Below are 22,239 nucleotides of genomic sequence, written 5' to 3' on the forward strand. Positions count from 1 at the left end.
CTTACGTAAAGCATACAAGGTGAGAATGATTCCAGCCAGGCAAAATCCTTCAAAGAACCTGAGTGTGCTGAACATTGTCACATTCACTGACAGTGCCACAGTCAGTCCAAAGATCAGAATGAAGATGATGGAAAACAGCAGCACAGGCCGCCGGCCGACCCTGCATATGGAGAGGGAAAAAGTTAGGAATCATTGTGAAACAAGACAATGACGCTAGATGCTGAAACCCGGTGTCCAGCAGGCACTCAATATATGTTGAATGAGTACTGGGTAAAAAGTCCTGTGCCATCTATACCCACTTCACTAGATCCTAGGCTACTATGGGTAAAAAGGGAGATTTAGCCCAACCCCCTAATTCTCGAGATAAGGGAGCAGAGATCAACCAATTACAGAGTAAGAGAATTCAGACTTGAGCCCAATTCCTGTTGCTGAGTCTATTTCTGAGTGTATAGTGATATAATTCAAGGCAAGGGGAACAAAATTAATAATTCTCCAAACAGGAACCTTGATACACCCAGCATAAAAAGTCTTGAGAAATCGTTGACCTTTGGGATTGGATCAAAAGTCAACATGGTCACCAAGCAAAGCGGCTTTGTTTCCTCTCCCCAGGTTGTTAACTAAGTCAGATACCTGATCCTACACACAGCCTATCCGAGCCAGGGCCAAGCCATCTGTCAATTTGTTTCAGCTACACGACGAGAAGTAATTTTTAAGGGATCACACACTAAGGTAAGACAGCGTGAACTTTAAATGCCCAGTGACCTGATAGTGAGCTGACAGTGCAGCCCCTCGGCTGGACTGAGAGGCAGGGAGCCCAGGCTGTGATGATTCTCTGGAAACGGCCACAGATACCCTCAATTCGTGGGTTCTGGAGCTGGCCAGTTTCAGATCAGTGACCACTAGGGGGCGATGTGCTTCTAGAGTGCCTGGGAGGACAGTAGAGGGTGGTCCACAAGAATGGGGAAGTCACCAGTTCCTGTGGCCCCATGCTAACTTTCCATCTTTCCTTGATTAACCGATTAGAAATAAAATGGCAACAATAACTCTCCATCAAACACGATTGGCTTGGTCTAAAGGATAACTCAGAGAAATGGGGGCAGAGTGGATGCTATTTGCCAGGAGAAAAAAGGGGGAAAAATCCAGACCTCCTGTCCCCAGTACCACAAAGGGTAGCTGAGGGGCTCGAACTGTCCTAGACGTGTTAATTACAAGACATCTACATGCAAGTAAAATGCCCAGAAAAGACAAATATACAGAAACAGAAAGTAGATTTGTGGTTGTCCAGGACTGGGGGGTGATGTTTCCATCATCCTTTGAGGGGATGGGAATGTTTTAAATTCAGAGTGTGGTGATGGCTGTACAACTCTGCAAATATACTAAAACTCATTCCATTGTGCACTTAAAATGGGTGGGTTTTATGGGATGCAAATTATATGTCAATAAAACTTCAAAAAAAAAAATTAAGGCATGGCCTTACCCTATAGAGATAGATGGAATTTTAAGAAAATACAGGGAAAGGAACAACAGGATGAAATTACACTCAGAACTTTTAGTTCTAACCATTCCCATCAGTCACTTTGGTTTAGTGAAACAAGGCCAAGGCTAGGAGCTCAATGTAAGTCAATAATCTCACCTGGAGATTTTAGCCATTACTTTCCCTTGTCCAGTGCTGGGATCAGGAAGCCCTTACCAGCAAAGACTGTGTAGCTGATTTTGTCCAAATCTAACTCATTGACAAAAATAAATTTAAAATACAGCTTTAGTCATTCTCCTAAAATGAAGAAAAATGAACTAACTCTAACATTTTGCATTACCCTTGACTTTCCTGGTCTGTGAAATGGGGATAAGCATCCCACATTGTGGAGTGTTGAGATCCTTCACTAGGGGGGATGATGGGCACAGATGCAACGCCTGGCGCAGAGGAAATAATGCAATGTTGTAGTGCTCATTCCTTCCTGCGTTTCCACGTCCCTGATGCCTACCAAACATGGTTTGCTCTGTTCTGATATTTTAGAAAAGATGTTCGATTTTTTTAAGCGTGCTGCCTCCCGAAAAATGGTGGCTAAAATCAACAAGTAAAACTTATCAAGGTCTACAGGGCAAACACTGTCTTTGAAGTCAGAGTGTGTTGGTTCTGAATCCAGGATCACCACTTCTGAACTATGTGACCTTGAGTAAGACCAGGCTTGTTCAAACGAGCCTGGAGTTCCCTTTGGTAAGGGCCAATTAATGTCTGCTTCATAATGTTATCGACAGGAGTGGATATGAACAAATGCTTCAGCAAGCGTTCAATACATGTTAGTTACAAGCATGGATGGTTCTCCTAGAAACTGGCTCCCAGGGCAGAACCCTCTCAGAGAGGACTGATAAAGCCACAGTCCTTGTCCGTAATGCAGAGGACTTTATCACTTAGGATCTGTGGTGGGCAGAACAATGGTCCTCAAATCTGTCCATGTCCTAATCCTCAGAACCTGTGAGTATTTTACCTTTCATGGCAAAAGGAATTCTGAAGATGAGATTAAGCTTAAGGACCCTGAGATGAGGTGACTTTCCAGGTAGGTCCAATCTAATGACAAGGAAAACCTCCCCTGGCTCCAGGGAACCAGAGAGGTAGTGGTGTGAGAAGGACTTGACTTGACATTGCTGGCTCTGAAGACGGAGGATGGGGCCATGAGCCATGGAATGCAGGTGGCCTTTAGAAGCTAGAAAAAGCAGGGGAGCAGATTATCTCCTGGGTCTTGCAAAAAGGCATGCAGCCCTGCTGACACCCCGACTTTAGACCAGTGAGACCTTTGTTGGACTTGTGAACTGCAGAGCTGGAAGATCATTCATGTGGGCTTTGGAAGCCACCAAGCAGGTAGCAATTTGTAACAGCAGCCATAGAGAACCGACACAGGGTCTCAACAGGAAACAGAGGTCCCACTCAAATGAAGTGACTGGAGGAGATGGTAATAAAGGGATTATTTACAGAAGAGTAAACAAGCTGAGAGGGAACCCACAACAGACGGTGTTTGACCTTGCGGCTCTCGACAGCAGGGAGTAGGGGAAGGATGGTCCTGGCCCCAGAGAGAAAGAGGTGCTGTGTGGAGGTCATGGACAGGAGGTGGCTGGCCCCTCCAACCTGGCAGAGAGCAAGCTGGGCATACAAGTGCCTGACCTCACTCTCTTCTCCCCTGAGGATCTACAGCTGGTGCTCCCCACTGGCCACACTCGGCCAGGAGCTGGCGGGCAAGGGGTCCTCTGTGGAAGCCCATACTGGCCAGCTTCCCAGGGCAGGCTGGGGAAGGGGGCAGAGGGCTGCTGCAGTAACAAACACAGCGAAGAAGTGAGCGCATCCCTGGGGCCACTGGCCATCGGCCCTCCCACCCACCTGAGCTAGCAGATTCTATACCAATACCCAGTGAACATCCCCAGACAAAACTTGGTGTCAAAAATGTAACTTTTTGAAGAAAGAAGTGTACTACTTAAATGTTACTAAATGCTGACTGCAGCCTTAGGAAGCATATTGTATGACTTGATCCACTTCCCCTGCAGCCATGAAACAGGGCCCATAGCCGAGAGGTCTGGAGTTCCCTTTAAATGGGTTTATTTCCTTTTAAGCAAGGCTCAAGCAGGGAGTCAAATGCCAGAAAATGGAGTTGGAAAATACCAAGCTTTCAAACTGAAAGGGAAGGCCACTCAAAATGTTCAAAAACTACCACTCAGGCAGCCTGCCCCTGATTCCCGGGGCACCCCCTCAATCTTGCCCATCTGAGGAGGAACCTCAGAAAAGCAACTGCAGAGAAATGGTTTGCGATGTCAGACTTCTGGTTACTCTAAGAGCAAGACCCAAACTCTTTTGTCCTCAGGCCTGGTGTGTGATCAGGGAGGCCACATCACATGTGTGTACAAGAAGAAAGTTAAGAAAACAATCTTTAAACAATTTAAACTGTTACAGACTGGTTCATTCATAAAAGTCGATTTTTACTTTTCTATTAAATTATTTATTGAATAAGGACACTACAACCCCAGTTGAGTTTGCATTTTTTTAGAAAGACAGTGACATGGATTATATTAGTATATTTTTCTAACCTATTTCAATGTAGATTTCTGGGAAACGGTATATTTTAGACCAATATAGCCCACACTAGAAACCTATGAACTCAAGTATTTGGTTTAAAAAAATAAACCCTGTGTTGCCTCTACCAAAGAAAGCCCCCAAGAGGTCCCCTGCGTAGGTCTCCAGAGGTCACTGACTGCTTCTCTGTTGCTGTCCACAGAGAACGTGTCCATGAGAAGCACTTGCAAATCATGATGAGGCAGATGTCAAGCACACAGGAAATCACATTACATGTCAGCTCAAGGAACTCCCAAATACACGCTGGGTTTTGGAAGAAATTTTCCACATGTGTAATGTGACCCTCTGCTGCTGTCCGCCCAGGCACTTGCCTTGGCCAGCATTCTCAGTTAACTGAGGTGCAGAGGTCACAGAACCTATAGAATTTGTTCCATATCACTCTGGGCCCTTATTTCCTCAAGGCCAAGATGTCTCGATTCACCAAAAAAAAAAAAAAAAAAAAAAATCCTTTAAAGATAAAAGAATGTAAGCTGGGGAGACAGTTACACTACGCCTCTCTCCTGAGCAATCTCGCTACTTGAAAAACCTGTCAACATTGTGCAACTGCCTCCCTGCTTAGACACCTCACCGCTGCTGCCCCTGTGACCACAGAATGCCTTAAATAAAAGCGCTGCAGCATCCTGGTGGAGGGGCAGGCTCTGAGGCCACGTGGTGGCTGAGTTTCAAGTTCTGGCTCTCCAGCTTAAAGCTGAGTGAACTTGGAGATTTTACTTACACTTCTCTGCTTTTTCAACTGTAAAACACAGGTAATAATAGCATCTCCTATTCGGGGTGTTGTAAGGAGATGTTAATGTATGGAACTACTTAGCACAGTGCCTGCTACACGGTAATCTTTCAGCTGCTAATGTTATCATTATTGCATATGCATTCTCACCTCTGGCCACCACCCTCCCCTGCCCACAGCGCCCATCTGTATTACCGAAATGCTCTTTATCACTCAAGGTGCAGCTCCCTACAGACCCCACAGAGGCATCTCCTGGCCAAGGACTGCCCCTCTCCAAAATCCACGTGACATGTAGAGGAGCTAATCAGCATTGCCTGACTCATTCAGCTCGCATGGGGGAAGGGTCTTTAGCTTCCCCATCCCCTATTTTTTAATGCATCTTCTGCAGCTGCCCCTTAGTGCATCCACCTCCTGCAGCCCTGCACATAAGTCTTCAAGCTCTTTCTAATGAAACGTCAAAGGTTAGAAGTAGATGGGGCTGCAGGCTGGTTTTGCTATATTCTAGAAGCTAGAGAATTGCGTTGAATTTAAATTCACACTTCCAAATGATCTGCTACATGCATGGGCCATTTCTCCGAGCTCTGCATTCTCCACGTGGCAGCTTTGGCCTTCTGCTCTGGCACTGGGAAAAGACAGTCATGGTAAGCTAACACTGACTATTTTTCTTTAGCCAGCAAAGGCGTGCTGTGGCCTCCAAAGGTTCGTGCGGCGGGCATGTTGGTACTCACCAGTCAGCAATGCATCCAGTTATTAGGTAGCCAAAGATTAATCCAACCAGTAAGGAGAACTTAGCGATATGGACCTTCCAGGCATTATCACACACAAGATCCCACTAGAGAGGGGCAAATAGAAAATAAATCAGAGAGAAACATACACAGAGCTAGTCGTACTCAATTATAAGGGCAATACAATAACCCTGCAGGGACCACCGCACCGTTGCCAGTACCATGCCATATACACCAGTCAGAGTCTCTTCCATGGTTTTGAAAATCCAATGAGACATATAATTTGCCCACAAAAGGAAATGTAACATTTTAGTCTGGGACAGATTATAAGTCTGCAAAGAATGACGCAGGAAGTCTGGGGATGTGTATTCTTCTGTCCCAACCACCACGGGAAATGTAAACTGAGGCAGAGGTGGGCAGCCACGGAGACCAGGCATCCCTGAGGACCAGTGGTCCCTCACCATGAAGAGCTGCTCTGAGTGCCCAGGGGCTGGGAGACCCTGTCAACTTTCTGCATGGGCATCGTGATGACATGAGGAGGTTAAAAGTAACTTTTGCATTTTCATCCCAAAACATTCCCCAAACTTTATGAGGAGTCTTAAAAATAAAAGCGAGCATTAGTAGTAAATGTTGAAATATGAACTTTAACTAAACATTCTATTTTGCCCTTGGAAGTGTCCCTTGCGTTTTCCCATGTTTCCCTCTAAAGCCATCTGCTCTCCTTGGAGAGAAAGCCGGTCAATTAGTAAATACAACATTCAGACTATTATATTGTTTAATAAGAAAAATACAAACAAATACAAATCTTCTCATTTTTCTTTTCTCCACTTGCAGGATCAGGACGTAAACCCCTGTTTGTTCCCTCTAAGGGATGTGTGTCCAAGTGTGGACTCAAATCCACATGCAGCTTTCATCTGGGCCAGAGGGGCACATAAGCAGGGTCCCTGCTGGCCAGGCCATGGAGACACAGAGCCGGGGGTCTAGATGCCCCTGCTTCTGCTGCAAAGAAGTGGGCAAAGCTTCTGGTCTGGACGCGCAACTCCAGGTCAGTGGAGACGGGGGTGGGGTGGTGCAGGGAAGAAGCTGAAGAAATTCACGCCAATGCATTTGGGAACACCGGAGCGGGAGGTGTTCTGGGAGCAGAGGCAGGATTGGAGGGGATGGGGAACATGGAAGGTGGTGGGCTGACCCCTGATCCTAGTTCTGTCTTCTTAGATGTCTCCCCCCGCCCCTTGTCTCTATGCTACCCAGACTGCAGCACAGAGGATCCTTAGAGGGCACTGTAAGCTCAGGTCCTGCCTCATGTTTCCAAACTTCCAGAGCCTTATCGAGGCCCCTGAGGCCACAGCTGTGGTTCTCAGCTTCACTAAAATTCAGGAAAAGCCAAGCTCTGTGTCAGTGGATGCAGGGAAAGGTGCCTGGCTGGGATAAGTAGAAAGCCACTGCCTGTCACAATGTCCCCACTTCTGCCCTGGACTCCTTGGGACACACACTGGCTCGCCGATGCCCCCAACACAGGTATGCTTTCCAGAGGTCTGAGGAGGGTGACTTCTTTTTCTACCCCATCTGCTTCCAGAGTGATTTGCAACGCCAGGCCCAGGAAGAAACGGAATATGGGAATGTAAGCACAGACTGCACAAGGGCCTCATCAATAAAAGACGGCTTGGAATTTGCTGTTGTCAGGGTTTATTCATGAATTTGGGGAGAAGGGCACTGCTGGTTGCACAGATTCTTAAGAATTCAGACACAGGAGCTCCTTACAGGGTTAACTTCCTTCCATGATTGCTCCAGTGGTCCTCAAACTGCTCCAGGGACCAGCAGCATCAGCACCACCTGGGGACTAGTTAGAAAAGGCAAGTTCTTGGGCCCCATCCCAGGCCCACTGAATGAAGACTCCTGCAGGTAAGCACAGCAGTGTGGTTCGGCAAACCTGCCCTGCGACTCTGAGAACTACTGGCCAACACTGCCCTGCCATTTTGAAGACAATGAATGAGCTTCACTGTCTTGGGCTGGGGTTCAAACAACTCCCAAGAGCAGGGAGAAGCAAAAACGCTGTGGGAACCATGCAAAAGACTACTGGCTGCTGCTGCTCTGCTCTGCAAATGCAGGGTCGTACAGCTAGGTGATGAGTTCAGTGAGCTTTTGGAGGCAAGCCTGGAAAACGAACATTCACATATGTATGCTGTTTCTAGGAAAAAATGTATTTTTGATAATAAAAACCTTTCACCACACAACCTATTTCTAACTTCAGGAATACAGGTTTTGCCTTAAAACGTGAGTGACAGCTTCATAAATCACAGTGGGTGCACATTCTGTTTTTCCAGCTTGGTTTATACACTCTGGGAGAGGAGGTGCTCTCAACACCTGTAACCACTCATCTCCCAGTTGCATCATGCCTTTGGGAGCCTCAGTCGGGCACAATCTTGGCAGGAGAGGAACACATCCCGACCCCAGGTTGCTGCCGGGGAGAAGGGCACCAGCTGCTGTCTTGATGGCAGGGAGTCATCTGAAATGCTTTCATGTCTCCCCCAAGACTTCCCATTGATGAGTTTACTTGAGGTTAAAGGATGCAAATGAGTATATTATGCTTCTATGAGATGGCCAGGAGGCAGAAGAAATTTTAATAAAGCATTTAGGGGACTGGAGGAAATTGCCAATACTGTTGTGAGTTCAGCCACCTGAGCAATGACCAGACCTGGCCTTGGGCAGCCATGACCCCATTAAGGTGCTAGCTAATAAGACATTCAGTGATCAGCCCTATCCATTAACAGTGCCACAGTGGAAAATGAACACAGTGGAGGGAGACTGAGTCACTCACACGCCTGGTAGGGAGAGGAAGCCTGGTTAGAAGTATTGCTGGCTCCACAGTTCCCAGCCTCTGGGCTTCCCCCTGGGGAGGGGGTGCAGGAAACCCAGAGCAAGGCAGCCACCTGCTACCTTAAACCCTCCTCAACTAGGCACAAGAATAGACAGCATATCTGAAGCAACAAGTAAACCAACTGGATTCCCAGGCCCAGCAAGTTTACCATGATAAGGGTTACTCATGCCTGGGGATCCGCCTGCAACACCGCCCTTGCCATCCTGGAGGCACCGCCGTTTAGCAGGGTAGGGTAGCGCTGGGGGAACCCATGGCACCGACACCCTTGTTTGACTTCTGCTTCTGGTATTGACAAAAATGTGTCGGGAAAAGAAAATATGTTCAGACACAGTATAATCTCCTAAAGAATTTCAGAAGTATGAGGAAGCTTTGAGGTCACCTGGCTCTTGAAATTTGTTCACATTGCTCTAGATAAGATATGGCAACTGGTCATGTCACTGACCAGTTGGGTAAGCAATGTTTAAAGCAATTTATAACTTTTCAGATTAAAGAAATATATAACAGGAGTAACGTTATAAAAAGTACAAAACCAGAACTGAATGTAACGGGTTTTGTCTCTGACGTTACCCTAGTCACCTCCCTCCCCATCAAATCAATCACCAATTCCAGCAGGTTCTGCCTTTCACATATATCCTGAACATCCCATCCGTGCTCCATTGCCCCCACAGACACCCCGATTTATAGGGATGGGGCAGGCGCTCACTCATGTGATTCCAGTCTCCTTCTGGTGTGGGCTTCCTATAGTGTGGGCTGGGAGGCCAAAAATCATACTTCCAGATTCTGGTATACCTATGGTTTCAAATGTGATTTTGGTCCTGCCAATCAGGTGCACACCCCAAAATAACTTTCTGTGTGCAACCTTGTTCGAATTTCCGGCTGACCTGAGTTAGGAAGAGAGTTCAGAGGGGAGGAAGGGAGGCATCCATTTTGCTGGTCAGCTCTGGCAAGGGTTGGGTGGTCTGGGAGCCAACAGTTCTGGAGGTGGCTAAGGAGGTGTGATCTTGGAACCAGTGGTTGGGACAGTGACCTTCTAATTCTTCAGCCTCCTAATGGAGGCACAGTTCCCTGGACAGGCTAGCTCTGCCAGGAATCCTTCCAGAGGCCCGTTTACAGTTGCTCTAGCAACTCAGTAAGCACTATTCCCTGTATTCAGTCCCTATCTCCTGAAATACCAGAGTGGCTTCTGTCATTTGCAAATTGAACCTTGTTCTCTGGTCAAATTTCCTTGGGATGGAATTTGCAGGGGGTAAGCAGACAAGATAAGGCCAAGTCACCATCCATCCTCCCTCTCCTGAACTAATACAAGAGTCTCTCTGCATTAACTCTAACCTCCCTCAAATCCATTCCCTACAGAACAATGAAAAGCATCCTTTAATTAAGCTTGTTAACACCTCATCAGCAGGTTTAACAAGATCATAAAAGCACTAAAGTCACAGCCTCATTTCATAATCTTAGGCTTGCTTGCTTTGTCATTTTTCCAAGACCAGGGACATTCATGATGATGCCATGTGACGCTTCTGAGCCATGACTAAGTGGTGAGACAAATGACTCCAGAGTGTGTCTACATTTCACACACGTTAGTTGCTATGTGTTCTAGCAAAATGAGAAAAAAAAAAAAAAAACCAAAAACTGTGGAGTCAGAGAACCTATATAGTTTAAGGATAAGCTAAAGAAAATACCATTAATATTATTTTGAAAGGAATAATTCAATTGCTTGACTTGCCAGAGTGGAGAAACATTCATCAAGGAGACTCAGAAAATTTCTAAAGAAGATGGAAAATAAATGGGAGATAAAGAAAACAACCTTATTTTCCACAGTAATGAATTCTATGATAAAATGTAAAATAAGAACATAAAAAAATTGGAAGCAAATAGATTGCTTCTTTAATTTTGAAGTGAAGATAAAATCTCCAAAGAGAAAAACTAAGGGGGAAAAACTACCTAAGGAAACAACTGGTAGATTTTGTAACAGTCTAATGATTACTACTTTACTATTAATTACTATTTTAAAAATCTACACATCAAAAATACAATAAGCAAAATTATAAAGACCTAAATTTGTAATATATATCCACTTACATATCAATATACACCAATACTGCAACCAGAAATTGAGTTAAGCGCCCACATGATTAACCATATATGAAACACAAATAGTTAAACACTTGGGAAATGTTTGATTTCACTAATGAAGACGGCCAGGTGCAGTGGCCCACGCATATAATCCCAGCACTTTTGGAGGCCAAGGTGGGAGGGTCACTTGAGGTCAGGAGTTCTAGACCAGCCCGGCCAATATGGTGAAATCCTGTACTAAAAATACAAAAATTAGCTGGGTGTGGTGGTGCATGCCTGTAATCCCAGCTACTCAGGAGCCTACGGCATGAGAATTGCTTGAACCTGGAAGACAGAAGCTGCAGTGAGCAAGACTGCGCCACTGCACTCCAGCCTGGGTGACAGAATGAGACATTGTTTCAAAAAAAAAGAAAAAAGAAAAGGAAAAAAAAAGACAATATTTTGTTTTTCAAAAAGAAAATTTTAAAAAAATTTCTAAAGATGAAGGAGAAACAAAGAGGTACAAATCTGTACAAGGAGCATAAACTAGGCACTGTTTTTCTGGAAGACAATTTGGCAATATGCAGCACATTACTTTAAATGGGGTCTACTCTTTATCCCAGCAATTCCCTTTCTTGGAACTTTATCTCAAGTAAATTATCAGAGACACCCACAGAGGTCTCTATGCAATGATTTTCACTGTTTGTAACTTATCAGAGCAAAAGTTGAGAACCTGACTCAATGTCAATGATACCATAGTGCCATTAAAAATTTCGCTTTTGAAAATGAATGATCGAGGAAAATGCTCATGATATAATTGTATGAAAGCTTCAGAATGGAAAAACGGTGACTAGAAGAGATGTTTGTATATGCAGGAAAAGTTAAAAGAAAATATTCCAAAATATTTTAAAGTGACTATCTCTAAAGAGTAGAAATAAGACTGAGTTTTATTTTCAACTTTATACTTTTCTTGACTTTTCCAAACTTTCTACGATGAATCTATAAGCCCTCAAATGACAGAAAAAAAATGTAGGGAAAAATAATGTAAACTCCCACAGTGGTAGCGATGGTGGGGAGGCAAAGACAAAATCATTAAAAAACAAACCAACAAAGGAAAAACCTTTTCGCCTTCTCGGAAACACGTATTTTAAGACAATCCTATAAATCAGGCCTACAGGAAGCTTATTCTGAAAGTGACTGGGAACAAACCACGTCTTCACAGCCTGAAGGTTAAGCACGTTAATGCTCACTGACTAAAGCGAAAAGTGTTTTTTAGGGAAGTGAATGAAAATTTTCCCCCAAGTTTCATCTTTTGTAGTGGAGATCCCCATTTGAAATTGTTCTATCAGCAAACCACGAGGGTTTTACCAATCGCTGTGCACACTGTCTGTTTTAAAGCTGAGCAGTGTCAGTTGAGATAAAAGAAAATATTTCTGTTCAGCCCTACAAAGAGGATAGTACTGCTTAAAACTTCAAAAGCTTAAGTAAAACAAAGTTCCTGACTGGGTCGCAGGAATTTAGAGAAATGTAGGGTCAGCATTTTTCCCCCCTAAAACAGAGCTTCAGCAGCCTCTCATGAACCAGTGTTTTATATACCATGGACGTGCGGTGCTCTGCACTTCTTAACTGCAGACAATAGAAATGGCAAGAACACACACACAGAGTCCACCCTGGAAGATGAGTCACAGACGGACAAAAGAAACACCCTCCACAAGCCAGGCTGATGAAGCACATTAGCTACGATTAGTTTCTCAACATTTAGGGAGGCTATGCTACCTAAATGTGTTTTTCAGTATTTTAAATCTAACAGTTGACAGATTTTTTTTCCCCTAAAAGATTCCATCAAAACTCAAGATATACTGCATGACTTGAAAACCTCAAATTACTCTCTACTTTTTGCCTCTAAGCTCATCCTCCAATTTTAGGAGGTTTGCTGTCAACAGTAGCCAACACAACTGCCAATTAGAGTTGGCATTGGTGCAAGCTTCCTTGAATGACATAATGAACATCCTTGGGTACTCCGGGGAAATTTTTTCTCTTTTCAATTTTGTTTCTCTGTTCTTTAATGAATATTAATTGCTGCTCAAATTGCTCCTCATCTTTCCTTTTTTCTACCTTAGTGCTAAAATAATAACCATGGTACATTGAGGGGAATAGCCGGGGCAAAAATAGATTGCAAACCCTTCCTGCTGGATGGAAGATACACCCCAACTCTAGCAGACCTGCATTCTGAGCCTCTCTAAGGAAACCCACCCCAGAGCCACACCGTTAAAGCTGCTCATATTTCTTAAACTTCACGTAGTCCCATTTTAATGAGTAATGTAATTTCCGATTCATTCGAACCCTTAAGCAACAATTTTTTTTTTTGTCTTTTTTTCTTCAAATGACAACTCTACTGTCCGCTCCTCTTCTGCGCAGTGCAGCCTTCCCGGTGGGAGAGAAATAGAAACTGCTTCATTTACTGACACTGGGGCTTTCCTGGTTCTCACTGAATTTGATCATTTTTAAAGGGCTAGAGATGTAGAACTTGAAAAACAGAAAAAATTACCACCTGAACACATCCTCAGTGATGTGTAGGATTATCTCTGAGGGAAAAATACAATGAGTCACTTTTCTTTGTTTGTTTCTTTTACTTTTTCTTGAAGGAAATAGGGAGGTACATCTTTCTCAGCAGAGGTTTGCATTATTGAACGTTCTTATTCGTTTTGTACAGGGCCCCGATGGCATTTGGGGAAGCTGAATAGATACCCACAAAGCAGCAGAGATAATTAATAAGCAATGCCCTTTTAGCTACCAAAACCTTGAAGAGTCTTTCCAAATTCTGCACTGTGTATTTTATTAACGGCCCTCATCAACTACCTCTAAGAAAGGAAATTAAGAGTAAGCCCTGTAAGTTAAAAAGGAAGGAGGGAGTGGGGAGGAATGCAGGGAGGGAGGGAGGAAGGAAGGAACCCCACAGATCCCTTAGCATCAAAAGGGAGCAGCTATTAATGCCCTGCAAGAAGTCAGCACACAGGCTTCTAGCAACTCATTTATATGAAATAACTTGAAGACTGTTAACTTGAGAAATTCAAAAGTTGTTTCAAGTGTTACTGGAGGGTATTTTCTAGTATAACACAGTGTGTCAACAGAGCCGGACTGTAGCATTAACATTTAAGATGTCCCCATCAATTCCGGAAGAGAGCCAGTGGTGGGGAACTTCTGCTGGGAGCCTCAGGGGATCTCTGAAATGAGAAGACTGTAACGACCCAGGTGATCCATCCTGGAGAGAACTTGGAGGGTGAAGGAAAGCCATCTTCCACTTGCTGAAAACAAATGCCTCAGTGGCTTCCCACAGCCGCAGGCTATGGCCTTGTTGTAACAGGACCCTGTTACATTCCCTTTATGGCTGGAGTCACCTGTCACCTTCTATTCTTCCCATGTACAAACTGGCTGCCATCAATTCCGGAAGAGAGCCAGGGGTGGCTGCCCCCACCTACCTCTCTCATCACTACCTCCTGCCCCAACCCCTGCCATGACCCAGCCTTGCCAAAGTGCTCACAGCTCCCCAGAGCCTCCATGCCCTTGGCCCATGTTGCTCTTCTGTGCCCCACTCCCACAACACCCTCATTCTCCCACTCCAACTTTTCTGGCTTGATGCCTGCTTTAAAGGACAAACCTCACCACAACCAAAATGATTTGACATTGTATGTCACCTGTCAGTCAAAGTATGGCCGATTTTCTGTACTGCACGCATTTTTTCTTTCAAGCAACACATATTACTTTCGCAAGCACACAACCAAGTGAAAAGGGAAAGGGGTACAAAATTACAAATGAAAATGCTTCTCTATTTCTATAAAGTTTAATAAACTCCATTGAGGGGTATCCTCTCCCAAGACCGGATCAGGAGATCTGTGCCTCTGAAGCATCCTGTACTCATGATAAAACACGTAGACTGTTCTTACAATATATCATAATTGCCTGTTTACAAGTCTTTCTTCCACTAGCTCAGGGGGTGGCAATCTGTAGCCCACAGGCCAAACACAGCCCTGCTGTCTGTGTTTGTAAATAAAGTTTTATTGGCACACAGCCGTGCTCCTTCATTCATATATTCATTTGCAGCGGATTCTGCACTACAGCGGCAGAGTCGAACAACTGAAACAGAGCCCACATGGCCTGCAAAGCCAAAAATATTTACTATGTGGCCCTTTTTAGAAAAATTTTGCTGACTCCTGCACTAGGCTGCAAGTTCCTTGAAGAAAGGGACCATGTCTTATTCCTTCATGCCTAAGCTAATGCTCAGAATGAGGGAGGGGCAGAGTGTTAACGTCAGGTAGGAATGACCCTCCCAGAAGTCAGAATGCTCCCGTGTCCACCCGTGTTCACTGTGCTCTGCTATTTATCTTCTTAAGCCTCTTTCTGTGATTATTTTTCAAGTATAATTTAATTTAAATAATTAATACATAATTATTATACCAAATTTATATAGGCAATATAGTTTTTAAATGTTTCCACCAAACTTTTCTCTATTGGTAATTTTCCTCCAGGGAAAGATATTTCTAGTTTTATTATAAAAGCCAGTAGAAAATTGGGTATATGAAAAATTTATTTAAAACAATGAATAATTCTTTTTTTTTTTTTTTTTTTGAGATGGAGTCTCACTGTTGCCCAGGCTGGAGTGCAGTGGTGCAATCTCAGCTCACTGCAAGCTCCGCCTCCCAGATTCACACCATTCTCCTGCCTCAGCCTCCCGAGTAGCTGAGACTACAGGCGCCCGCCACCACGCCCGGCTAATTTTTTGTATTTTTAGTAGAGACGGGGTTTCACCGTGTTAGCCAGGATGGTCTCAATCTCCTGACCTCATGATCCGCCCACCTCGGCCTCCCAAAGCGCTGGGATTACAGGCATGAGTCACCGCACCCGGCCGAATAATTATCTCTTAATAGAACAAATCTATGACATTAAATTAAGCATTGTTCTAGGTGAAGAAAGGAAACTAAGATTCATTAAGTATCTACCCTGTGCTAGGGACTCTGCCAGCTGCTTTGACTAAGCACCCTGACAGCACAACAGGCCCATTGCATGGACATTATTACCAGTATGTCCATTTCACAGATGAAGAAACTGAGGCTGAGAAGTGATGCTAGTCCAAGATCAAGTGTCTCTTACATAAATTATAAATCTGTATCTGATTGAAACTCAGGTTCTTTCCCCCAGTAAACTCAAAGAAACAGCCCTAGTTCATACAAATAAATACAATTCTCTGGTTTATATTAATTTGTTACAGGTTATAGCATTTGTCTGGACAAATATTCAATACACTTTATGTGCATATAGAAGCAAAGTAGCATACTGAAAACAGGACAGGCTTCGGTGTTATTTCATTGTTACAGTGACTAAACAAATAATAATTTGTCAGGGGTCTGTGAATAGCAGATATTTGATACATGATGGCTGTTTAAGATACTAATATCACAGTATCTTTTTTAAATAGAATTTTTAGTACTGAAATGTTGAAAAAAGTTATGATCAACTCCCTATTTTAAAAACAAAGAAACTGAATAAGAGGTGAAGTGACTCATTCAGAATTAAAAAAGCTTATAGCCAAGTCAGACTTGAGCAGAGCCCAGGTTTCCTTGGGCTCAGCTGCTCCATACCAGACTGCCGTGGAAAATGTCATTTTCAGACAGGGTGACCTGATGCACAGGGACGCATGACTCTCCCAACAAATTTCACAAGTCAATTACTGCCAAGCCAGGACAACTGCTAATCTAATGGTCAGTGTGGTGGTACTACCTTCATTCTAGTCCCAAACTCTTACAACAGGAAGGATTAGGAAAAAAAAAAAATTAACATTTTAATTGAGACCTACTCTTAGGCTTCCTGCCAAATACTCATCTTTTTCTGTAACATATGAATCAGAGTACCTGAGATGGTAAACCAGTTTTTCTCCTGTTTCAACACTGGTGTAACCATCTTGAAGATGACATGATGCCTTTTTCTTTCTTTCTCTTTTTTTTTCTTGCTTTATTTAGCTCAAACTAGAAGCCAGTACAACCGTGGATCTAAATGATGACCTTTTCCATGAAAACAGCTAACACCAACCAGCTACAAACAAGGTACACAAAGCTGGAGGCTGCCCTGGGCCTACTCCACATCCCAAAGTTACTCAACTATAGTAGTTCTCAGCTGTAGTAGGTGTGACTGCTGCTACAGGACAGCATAATCCTTCAGGTTTTTACCCATTTGGACTTTGTCTTCATTGGGTTGGACTCTGGCTTACCACTGTCTCTGAGGAAGGGCATCGCATGGTAAGCGAGAGCCTGGTAGCATGGAATTCAGAGCCTAAAGTGGGGTCTGAGCCAGCTTGCGAATGTGCTGTCAAGCACAGCTGGGATGCAGGCTAAGAGCTCGGAGTTTGAGCCTGATAAGCCCCAGTTTTATTTCTAGTTTCGCCCCGCGGTCATCAGGGCAAGCTTTTTCACCGTGTGGGGGCTCAGTTTTAACATCTATGACGTAGGAGTCGCAAAACCTTCACCAGAGGGTTGTTACAAGAGTCAAAAATAACATCGGGAATGCGCCTGGTGCAGTAACCGGCACAAAGTGATTATTACTCATTAATTTTGTCTGTCAGTTAAGCAGGTCCTCGGGGGCTTATGTCTGTTGGTAAGTAACATTTTGGATCTGAGAGTAATAAAACTACTTCAAAAAGGGTTTTGATTACTTAGAGTCTGAGCTATTCATTTTAGCCTCACCCCTAACTGACCCAAATTAAGGGGTATTTTACTAGTTTTACATCCTGTCTGCATAGTCAGCACCAGATTAGAAAGTGGGCCAGACGAGGATGGAAGACGCCCTCCAGGGAGCAGCTGTGTTCATAGCTGGGAGATGCTGAAGGAGGAGCAGGTCCAGGTCTACCCGGGGCTCTACCGTGCTTTCAGGTCCTCCCACCACCTCTCAGGATGCCGTGCCCTTCACTTTGACCTCCTCAGCAGCATCCTGGGAACAGCAACAGCTTCGTTTCCAACACTTCCTGCAATCATTCCTTAAATATACTATTTTTCTGACCAAAAGAAAAAAAAAAGTAGGATGGTTCTCAAAAGCTGACAACACGATTACACCCAAGAGTGTGTTTTTATTTTCTTCCTTTGAACTAACTATTAATCTTCTAAAAACACCGTGCCAAACTGGCAGCATGACAGCAGAGTGTGACTGTGCAGGCTGGCTCCCGGCCCCCGCCCTCTGGTCGGGAGAGGAAGAAGGTCGGCTGCACCCGAGGTGGGGTGAGCCAGGAAGGCTCCCGACCTTCCACTTCAGTGCCTCCGGCATCCTGGGGACAAGCGGACTGAGAGGCAGCTCTCTAAGAGTTTCCTCAGATAGAACCTCAAAGCATCCTTAGGCCAAAGCCAGGATCACTACCCTGAGAACTCACCGGGGCCTGGCCAGATGCGTATGGGACAGCGAAAGGAGTAGAGAACACATGTCACAACTCAAGCCTCAGTAAGTGGACAGAGAAAGGGAGCAGAGACCCTCTCATGCCAAGGAGGCTGCAAAGCTGCCCAAGTCGCGGCCCTCACCAGAGTCTCTTATCAGAGACCTTCCTGCCCCTCCTCACCCTCCAGGCTGCTCAGAGTGGTACAGTGTTTTAATATTGGTGACAGGCCTCGGATGGCCAGCTCCTGAGGGGACATCCTTCTGTTACTTGTGGAGTTGGAATTACAGGACTTGGAGGGTGTGAACTTTTGGGGGAACTCCAGGGATGAACATGAGAAGGCCCTTCTGCTGTAGTACTAACTGCAATCAGTGTCTCGGGCTTCATGGGCTTGGCTTTGCGTAACAAGCCAGGGCACCTGAACTCCATCCCAGCCCTGCCAAAATAATTCTCTCCATTCACTACTGATGCAGCAGAGCGGGCTTGACAAAGCTTGCCACAGGACAGTCAAGTTGATCCATTCAGCATTCCCCAATTCTTCCTTCTGTCTCACTCAAAGGCAAATAGACAGCAAAAGACAACGTAAAAATATATTAATAAAATTAACGATCCAATAAGGAAGCCCTTCACAACTGGACTCTCCTCCCTGTCTAGCTGCATTTGAAAGACACACCCACTTCTAAGCCAGCAGTTGAAGCTTTTTTTGAAGGCAGCATGCCTAAAAGGGTAACAATAAGTGTTCATCTAAAAAAGGGAGTAACTGGCTAATTAGCGATAACATTCAGTGAAACAAAGTCAAGCTGGTGTCTCATTTTCAGGACTTCTCAGAGCCTTTAGCATGTTAATGTGCATCATGAGTCCTGAAGAGGGGGCTCTGTAGCCCCCTCTTCAAACGTATTTGGCTTCGGAAACCCTCTCCCTCCTACACACTTTCAAGGGCATGTCTGGGCTGCAGAATAGGAGAGATGTTGCCATGTATATTTTGTTTGCCCTGCATGACCTAATATGTGAACACAGTGCAAAATTATAACACGTGGAAATTCTGGGATTTTAAAGGCTGGGGTACAACAGTCCTGTCACCCCTGACAATCTACCTGAAGGAAGAGAGGGGGGATATGCGTGCACATCAATGGATGTTCACAAGAACCAGAGGAATGTTTTTCTGCCTTTAATCCAAGAAAATAAAAATAACTATTTTCCTGTCTTCTCAAGAGTTTATAACTGCTAATTGGTAAGATATGGACAAACATTGAAAACTCTAAGGAAATGATCTGCAAAAGGTCAACCACAACAAGAAGCAGTCAACTGTGTAAAATTCCACTTCCTTGAGAACAAATCACTGCCCTGCATGTCCCCACCTCTCTGCGGAAGGACAGTTGCTCCATTAGCCCAAGTCCATTAGCCCAAGCCGATTAGGAAGTATGCAGGCGATGATTTACACTATGTTATCCTTTAAAAAATAGTCTGTAGACCCCCCAAAAGCAAAAGCAGGGACATACAAAGATATGTACACCCATGTTCATAGCAGCCCTATTCACAGTAGCCAAGGGCTGAGAGAAACTCAAGTGTTCACTGACGGATGAACAAAGAAACAAAACGTGGTGCATGCACATGATGGAGGATTATTTAGCCTGCAAAAGGGAGGAAATTCTGACACATGCTACACATGGATGAACCTTGAAGACATGCTAAGTGAAATAAGCCATCACTAAAAGACAAATATGGTATGATTCCACTGATACGAGGTGCCTGGAGTAGTTAAATTCATAGACACAGAAAGTAGAATGGGGGTTACCAGGGGCTGGGGTGAGTGGGGATGAGTTATAGTTTCATGGGGATATAGCTTCAGCTTGGGAAGATGAAAAATATCTGGAGATGGATGGTGGTGATGGTTGCACAACAATGTGAATGGCTTACACTGAACTATACACTTAAAATGGTTAATTTTATGTTATGTACATTTTCCCACACGCACACACAAAAAAAAGTTTAAAGAAAGTGTTATCTTCAGGAAATGGGCTAGCCAGTATCCCAATTAACTTAAACATGGATGGCAGAGCACTCTGAAGAGAATCCTGGATTAGGCAGCAGAAAGCACAGTTGTCTTACAGGTTATATTCGCGAGAAAATCTCCAAGGTGCAGGCCTCTCTATCTGACATCTCGTCTCCGCTGGCAGTGAGACGTCCTTTCTCCCCAAGCTTGTCCATGGGTGAAAGGATCAAAGGACATTGCCCGCCAAAAGGAAGAGTGACCAGACTGCCCCCCTCCCTCAGTCACCAACCCCCTTGACTTCTCACATGTTCAAGGCAGGCCACCCCAAGCTCTTACGTCCTGGCCTTGTGTAAATACGTTTTCTTCCTTTGTGCCACCACCCAGTCCCCAGTATTGTGGGCCAGGCCCCAGGAGGGACTGCAGACCAGTGCCACAGTCTCAGTGTTCCATGACTATTTATTGGTCACGTATTGAGTGCCACACCCCAAGGAAACAATAATGCAAAAAGTGCTGTCCTCGCTCTTTAGAGTTTGGGGCAGGCTTAAGAAAGGACTATGCTGAGGGGTAAAGAGTAGCGGCAGCAGACACACAGAAGGTGCTATGAGTGTGCCCCGGCCAGCCTTATCCATGCCAGGAAGACCAGAAGGGATGAGGCTGGAGGGGAGTGGAAAGGAGTTGTCTGTGTTAGAAAACACAGCATATGGCCAGGCATAGTGGCTCACACCTATAATCCCAGCACTTTGGGAGACTGAGGTGGGTGGATCACCTAAGGTGGGAAGTTTGAGACCAGCCTGACCAACATGGAGAAACCCCGTCTCTACTAAAAATACAAAATTAGCTGGGTGTGGTGGCACGCACCTGTAATCCCAGCTACTTGGGAGGCTGAGGCAGGAGAATCACTTCAACCTGGGAAGCGGAGGTTGTGGTGAGCCGAGATTGCATCATTGCACTCCAGCCTGGGCAACAAGAGCAAAACTCCGTCTCAAAAAAAAAAAAAAAAAAAGAAAGAAAGAAAAAGAAAACACAGCATGTGTGAGGGTTTAAAAATGTGGGGCAGGCTCAAGGGAGGCTTCCAGGAGGGATACCTGCACCTGGACTGGACACTGAGTGAGATGGGCGTGGGGGCAGGTCCTGTGAGGACACACCCTGCACCCATGTCACAGAGTGGAATGTTAATCAGGACTAGACTTAAAATGCAATGAAAATGTTAACTCAATCAAACCTTATTTGGGGCTTTCGGTTGATGCTACTGTTGTTAGAAATATCCTGATCAAGGATCACAGAAAAGGAGGACCAAATTCCTAAGCCTGGCTCTGCAGGGGACAGGGAAGGGAGAAAGGGAGGGAGGGCTGTTAAAGGTTCAGCCTTTCAAAACCATCTATGGGTGGGCATGAAGTTTGTGGGCTATTGGCCAGTCCTCAATTAACAGGTTGAAGTTATGGATGAGCTCAGAAAGAGTAGGGTCAATCCTATCAGTCCTTCGTACCTTAGTGTGAACTGCTTTCATCTCTTAGCTAAAATTAGCTGCCCAGATATTTTGGTTTTGGAAAGTAGGAATAGAGAGGAAATTTTGAAAAAGAGGTCATTTGAGAGCACCTGAGAAGCACTCCTAAATGAGGAGATGTCAAATAGCTAGGGACAATATGAGGCCAAAGGAGGAGGGGTTCTGAAAGTGAGGGCACAAGGCAAACAAACGTGTCCACAGCTCAGGTGGCCAGCTGGGGACCACAAAGACCGCCATTTGCCAGGGCTGACCTCGGTCATTTCCTATGAGCTTCCATACTTCTGTTTTAGAGGTCTAGAGTTAATGGTTGGGGGATTGCAGGTGGTTGTATAATGCATTGTAGTTGTTGGTTACATGACTGTCCTCTGAGCTCCACTGGGAGCTCTTTGCAGAAAAGGGCTCAGATTAAATGCGTATCTCAAAGCACACACTCTGCTGAAAGGGAGCGGCACATCCATCATTTTCTGTAATCCCCACAAAGCTTTATGCTATAGGTGTCATCTCTACCTTGGAAATTAGGTTCCAGGGGGCTGAGTAATCCCCAAGGTTCCTCAGTGTAGAGGCGGTAGTGCTAGGGTTCAAACCGGTTCTCCTGCATCTGAGCCCAGTGCTCCTTGCCCACGCCTCTGCTCCCTGGATCTTCACTGAGAGCCTGCGGCAGGAAAGCTCTGTTCCTCTGCTGAGTGAACGCTGGCTCCTTCCACAATCACTCAGGCTTTGAGGGTAGGCTGGCTGTGAGACTTTGAAGAAGCCTAAGTTTAAAATAAATGTTTAATGTTTTTTCCCCGAATTCTGAAATTGCTTTTGCAGAACCTAAAGGAACCAATCTTCCTTG

General features: G+C 44.8%; 1 protein-coding gene and 1 long non-coding RNA gene across 17 annotated transcripts in view, besides 7 other annotated features; one reads left to right on the forward strand and one right to left on the reverse strand.

The window, feature by feature from the left end:
* The window catches only part of SLC22A23 (solute carrier family 22 member 23), a 188,078-nt gene that overhangs the window by 141,210 nt on the left and 24,629 nt on the right, over window positions 1-22,239 (reverse strand). For 12 of the 16 annotated variants that reach the window (NR_104448.2, XR_001743575.2, XR_007059328.1 and 9 more), the window contains 2 exons: window positions 5,570-5,673; window positions 6-160 (listed from right to left, as the gene is read on the reverse strand). The exons of 2 other annotated variants lie outside the window; for them this stretch is intronic. Coding sequence is in view for 11 of the 14 variants with exons in the window: in NM_015482.2 (NP_056297.1) it covers window positions 6-160; window positions 5,570-5,673 (259 nt within the window). In the remaining 3 variants the exon portion in view is untranslated. Of the gene's footprint in view, window positions 1-5; window positions 161-5,569; window positions 5,674-7,235; window positions 22,157-22,239 lie in introns of those variants that run through there. 2 more of the 16 variants (NM_021945.6, XM_047419244.1) reach the window with 2 other exon arrangements.
* Window positions 477-621: an enhancer, noted in NCBI's record as "145 bp enhancer 213 fragment used in the MPRA reporter construct; PK_construct_1789". NCBI's record gives its function as "activates an SV40 promoter by MPRA in HepG2 cells {active_cell/tissue: HepG2}" and the evidence as "EXISTENCE:reporter gene assay evidence [ECO:0000049][PMID:23512712]".
* LOC105374890 (uncharacterized) lies at window positions 518-7,797 on the forward strand. Its single transcript, XR_926397.3, has 3 exons — window positions 518-729; window positions 6,401-6,611; window positions 7,143-7,797. It is a non-coding gene; the product is annotated as an uncharacterized LOC105374890 (long non-coding RNA).
* Window positions 542-555: a transcriptional cis regulatory region, noted in NCBI's record as "HNF4 motif; enhancer activity is reduced when this motif is scrambled". NCBI's record gives its function as "necessary for full MPRA enhancer 213 activity {active_cell/tissue: HepG2}" and the evidence as "EXISTENCE:site-directed mutagenesis evidence [ECO:0005528][PMID:23512712]".
* Window positions 2,853-3,147: a silencer, noted in NCBI's record as "tiled region #2334; K562 Repressive non-DNase unmatched - State 14:Gen5'". NCBI's record gives its function as "represses a minimal TATA promoter and a strong SV40 promoter by Sharpr-MPRA in K562 cells {active_cell/tissue: K562}" and the evidence as "EXISTENCE:reporter gene assay evidence [ECO:0000049][PMID:27701403]".
* Window positions 3,205-3,704: an enhancer, noted in NCBI's record as "H3K4me1 hESC enhancer chr6:3413621-3414120 (GRCh37/hg19 assembly coordinates)". NCBI's record gives its function as "activates a minimal SCP1, AML or CMV promoter by ChIP-STARR-seq in naive H9 embryonic stem cells {active_cell/tissue: H9 hESC(naive)}" and the evidence as "EXISTENCE:reporter gene assay evidence [ECO:0000049][PMID:30033119]".
* Window positions 4,769-5,270: an enhancer, noted in NCBI's record as "H3K4me1 hESC enhancer chr6:3415185-3415686 (GRCh37/hg19 assembly coordinates)". NCBI's record gives its function as "activates a minimal SCP1, AML or CMV promoter by ChIP-STARR-seq in naive H9 embryonic stem cells {active_cell/tissue: H9 hESC(naive)}" and the evidence as "EXISTENCE:reporter gene assay evidence [ECO:0000049][PMID:30033119]".
* Window positions 9,473-9,767: a silencer, noted in NCBI's record as "tiled region #10234; HepG2 Repressive DNase matched - State 5:Enh, and K562 Repressive non-DNase unmatched - State 8:EnhW". NCBI's record gives its function as "represses a minimal TATA promoter and a strong SV40 promoter by Sharpr-MPRA in HepG2 and K562 cells {active_cell/tissue: HepG2 | K562}" and the evidence as "EXISTENCE:reporter gene assay evidence [ECO:0000049][PMID:27701403]".
* Window positions 17,343-18,256: an enhancer, noted in NCBI's record as "H3K27ac-H3K4me1 hESC enhancer chr6:3427759-3428672 (GRCh37/hg19 assembly coordinates)". NCBI's record gives its function as "activates a minimal SCP1, AML or CMV promoter by ChIP-STARR-seq in primed H9 embryonic stem cells {active_cell/tissue: H9 hESC(primed)}" and the evidence as "EXISTENCE:reporter gene assay evidence [ECO:0000049][PMID:30033119]".

The sequence above is a fragment of the Homo sapiens genome, chromosome 6 (genome assembly GCF_000001405.40).
Source record: "Homo sapiens chromosome 6, GRCh38.p14 Primary Assembly".
Classification (NCBI taxonomy): domain Eukaryota; kingdom Metazoa; phylum Chordata; class Mammalia; order Primates; family Hominidae; genus Homo; species Homo sapiens.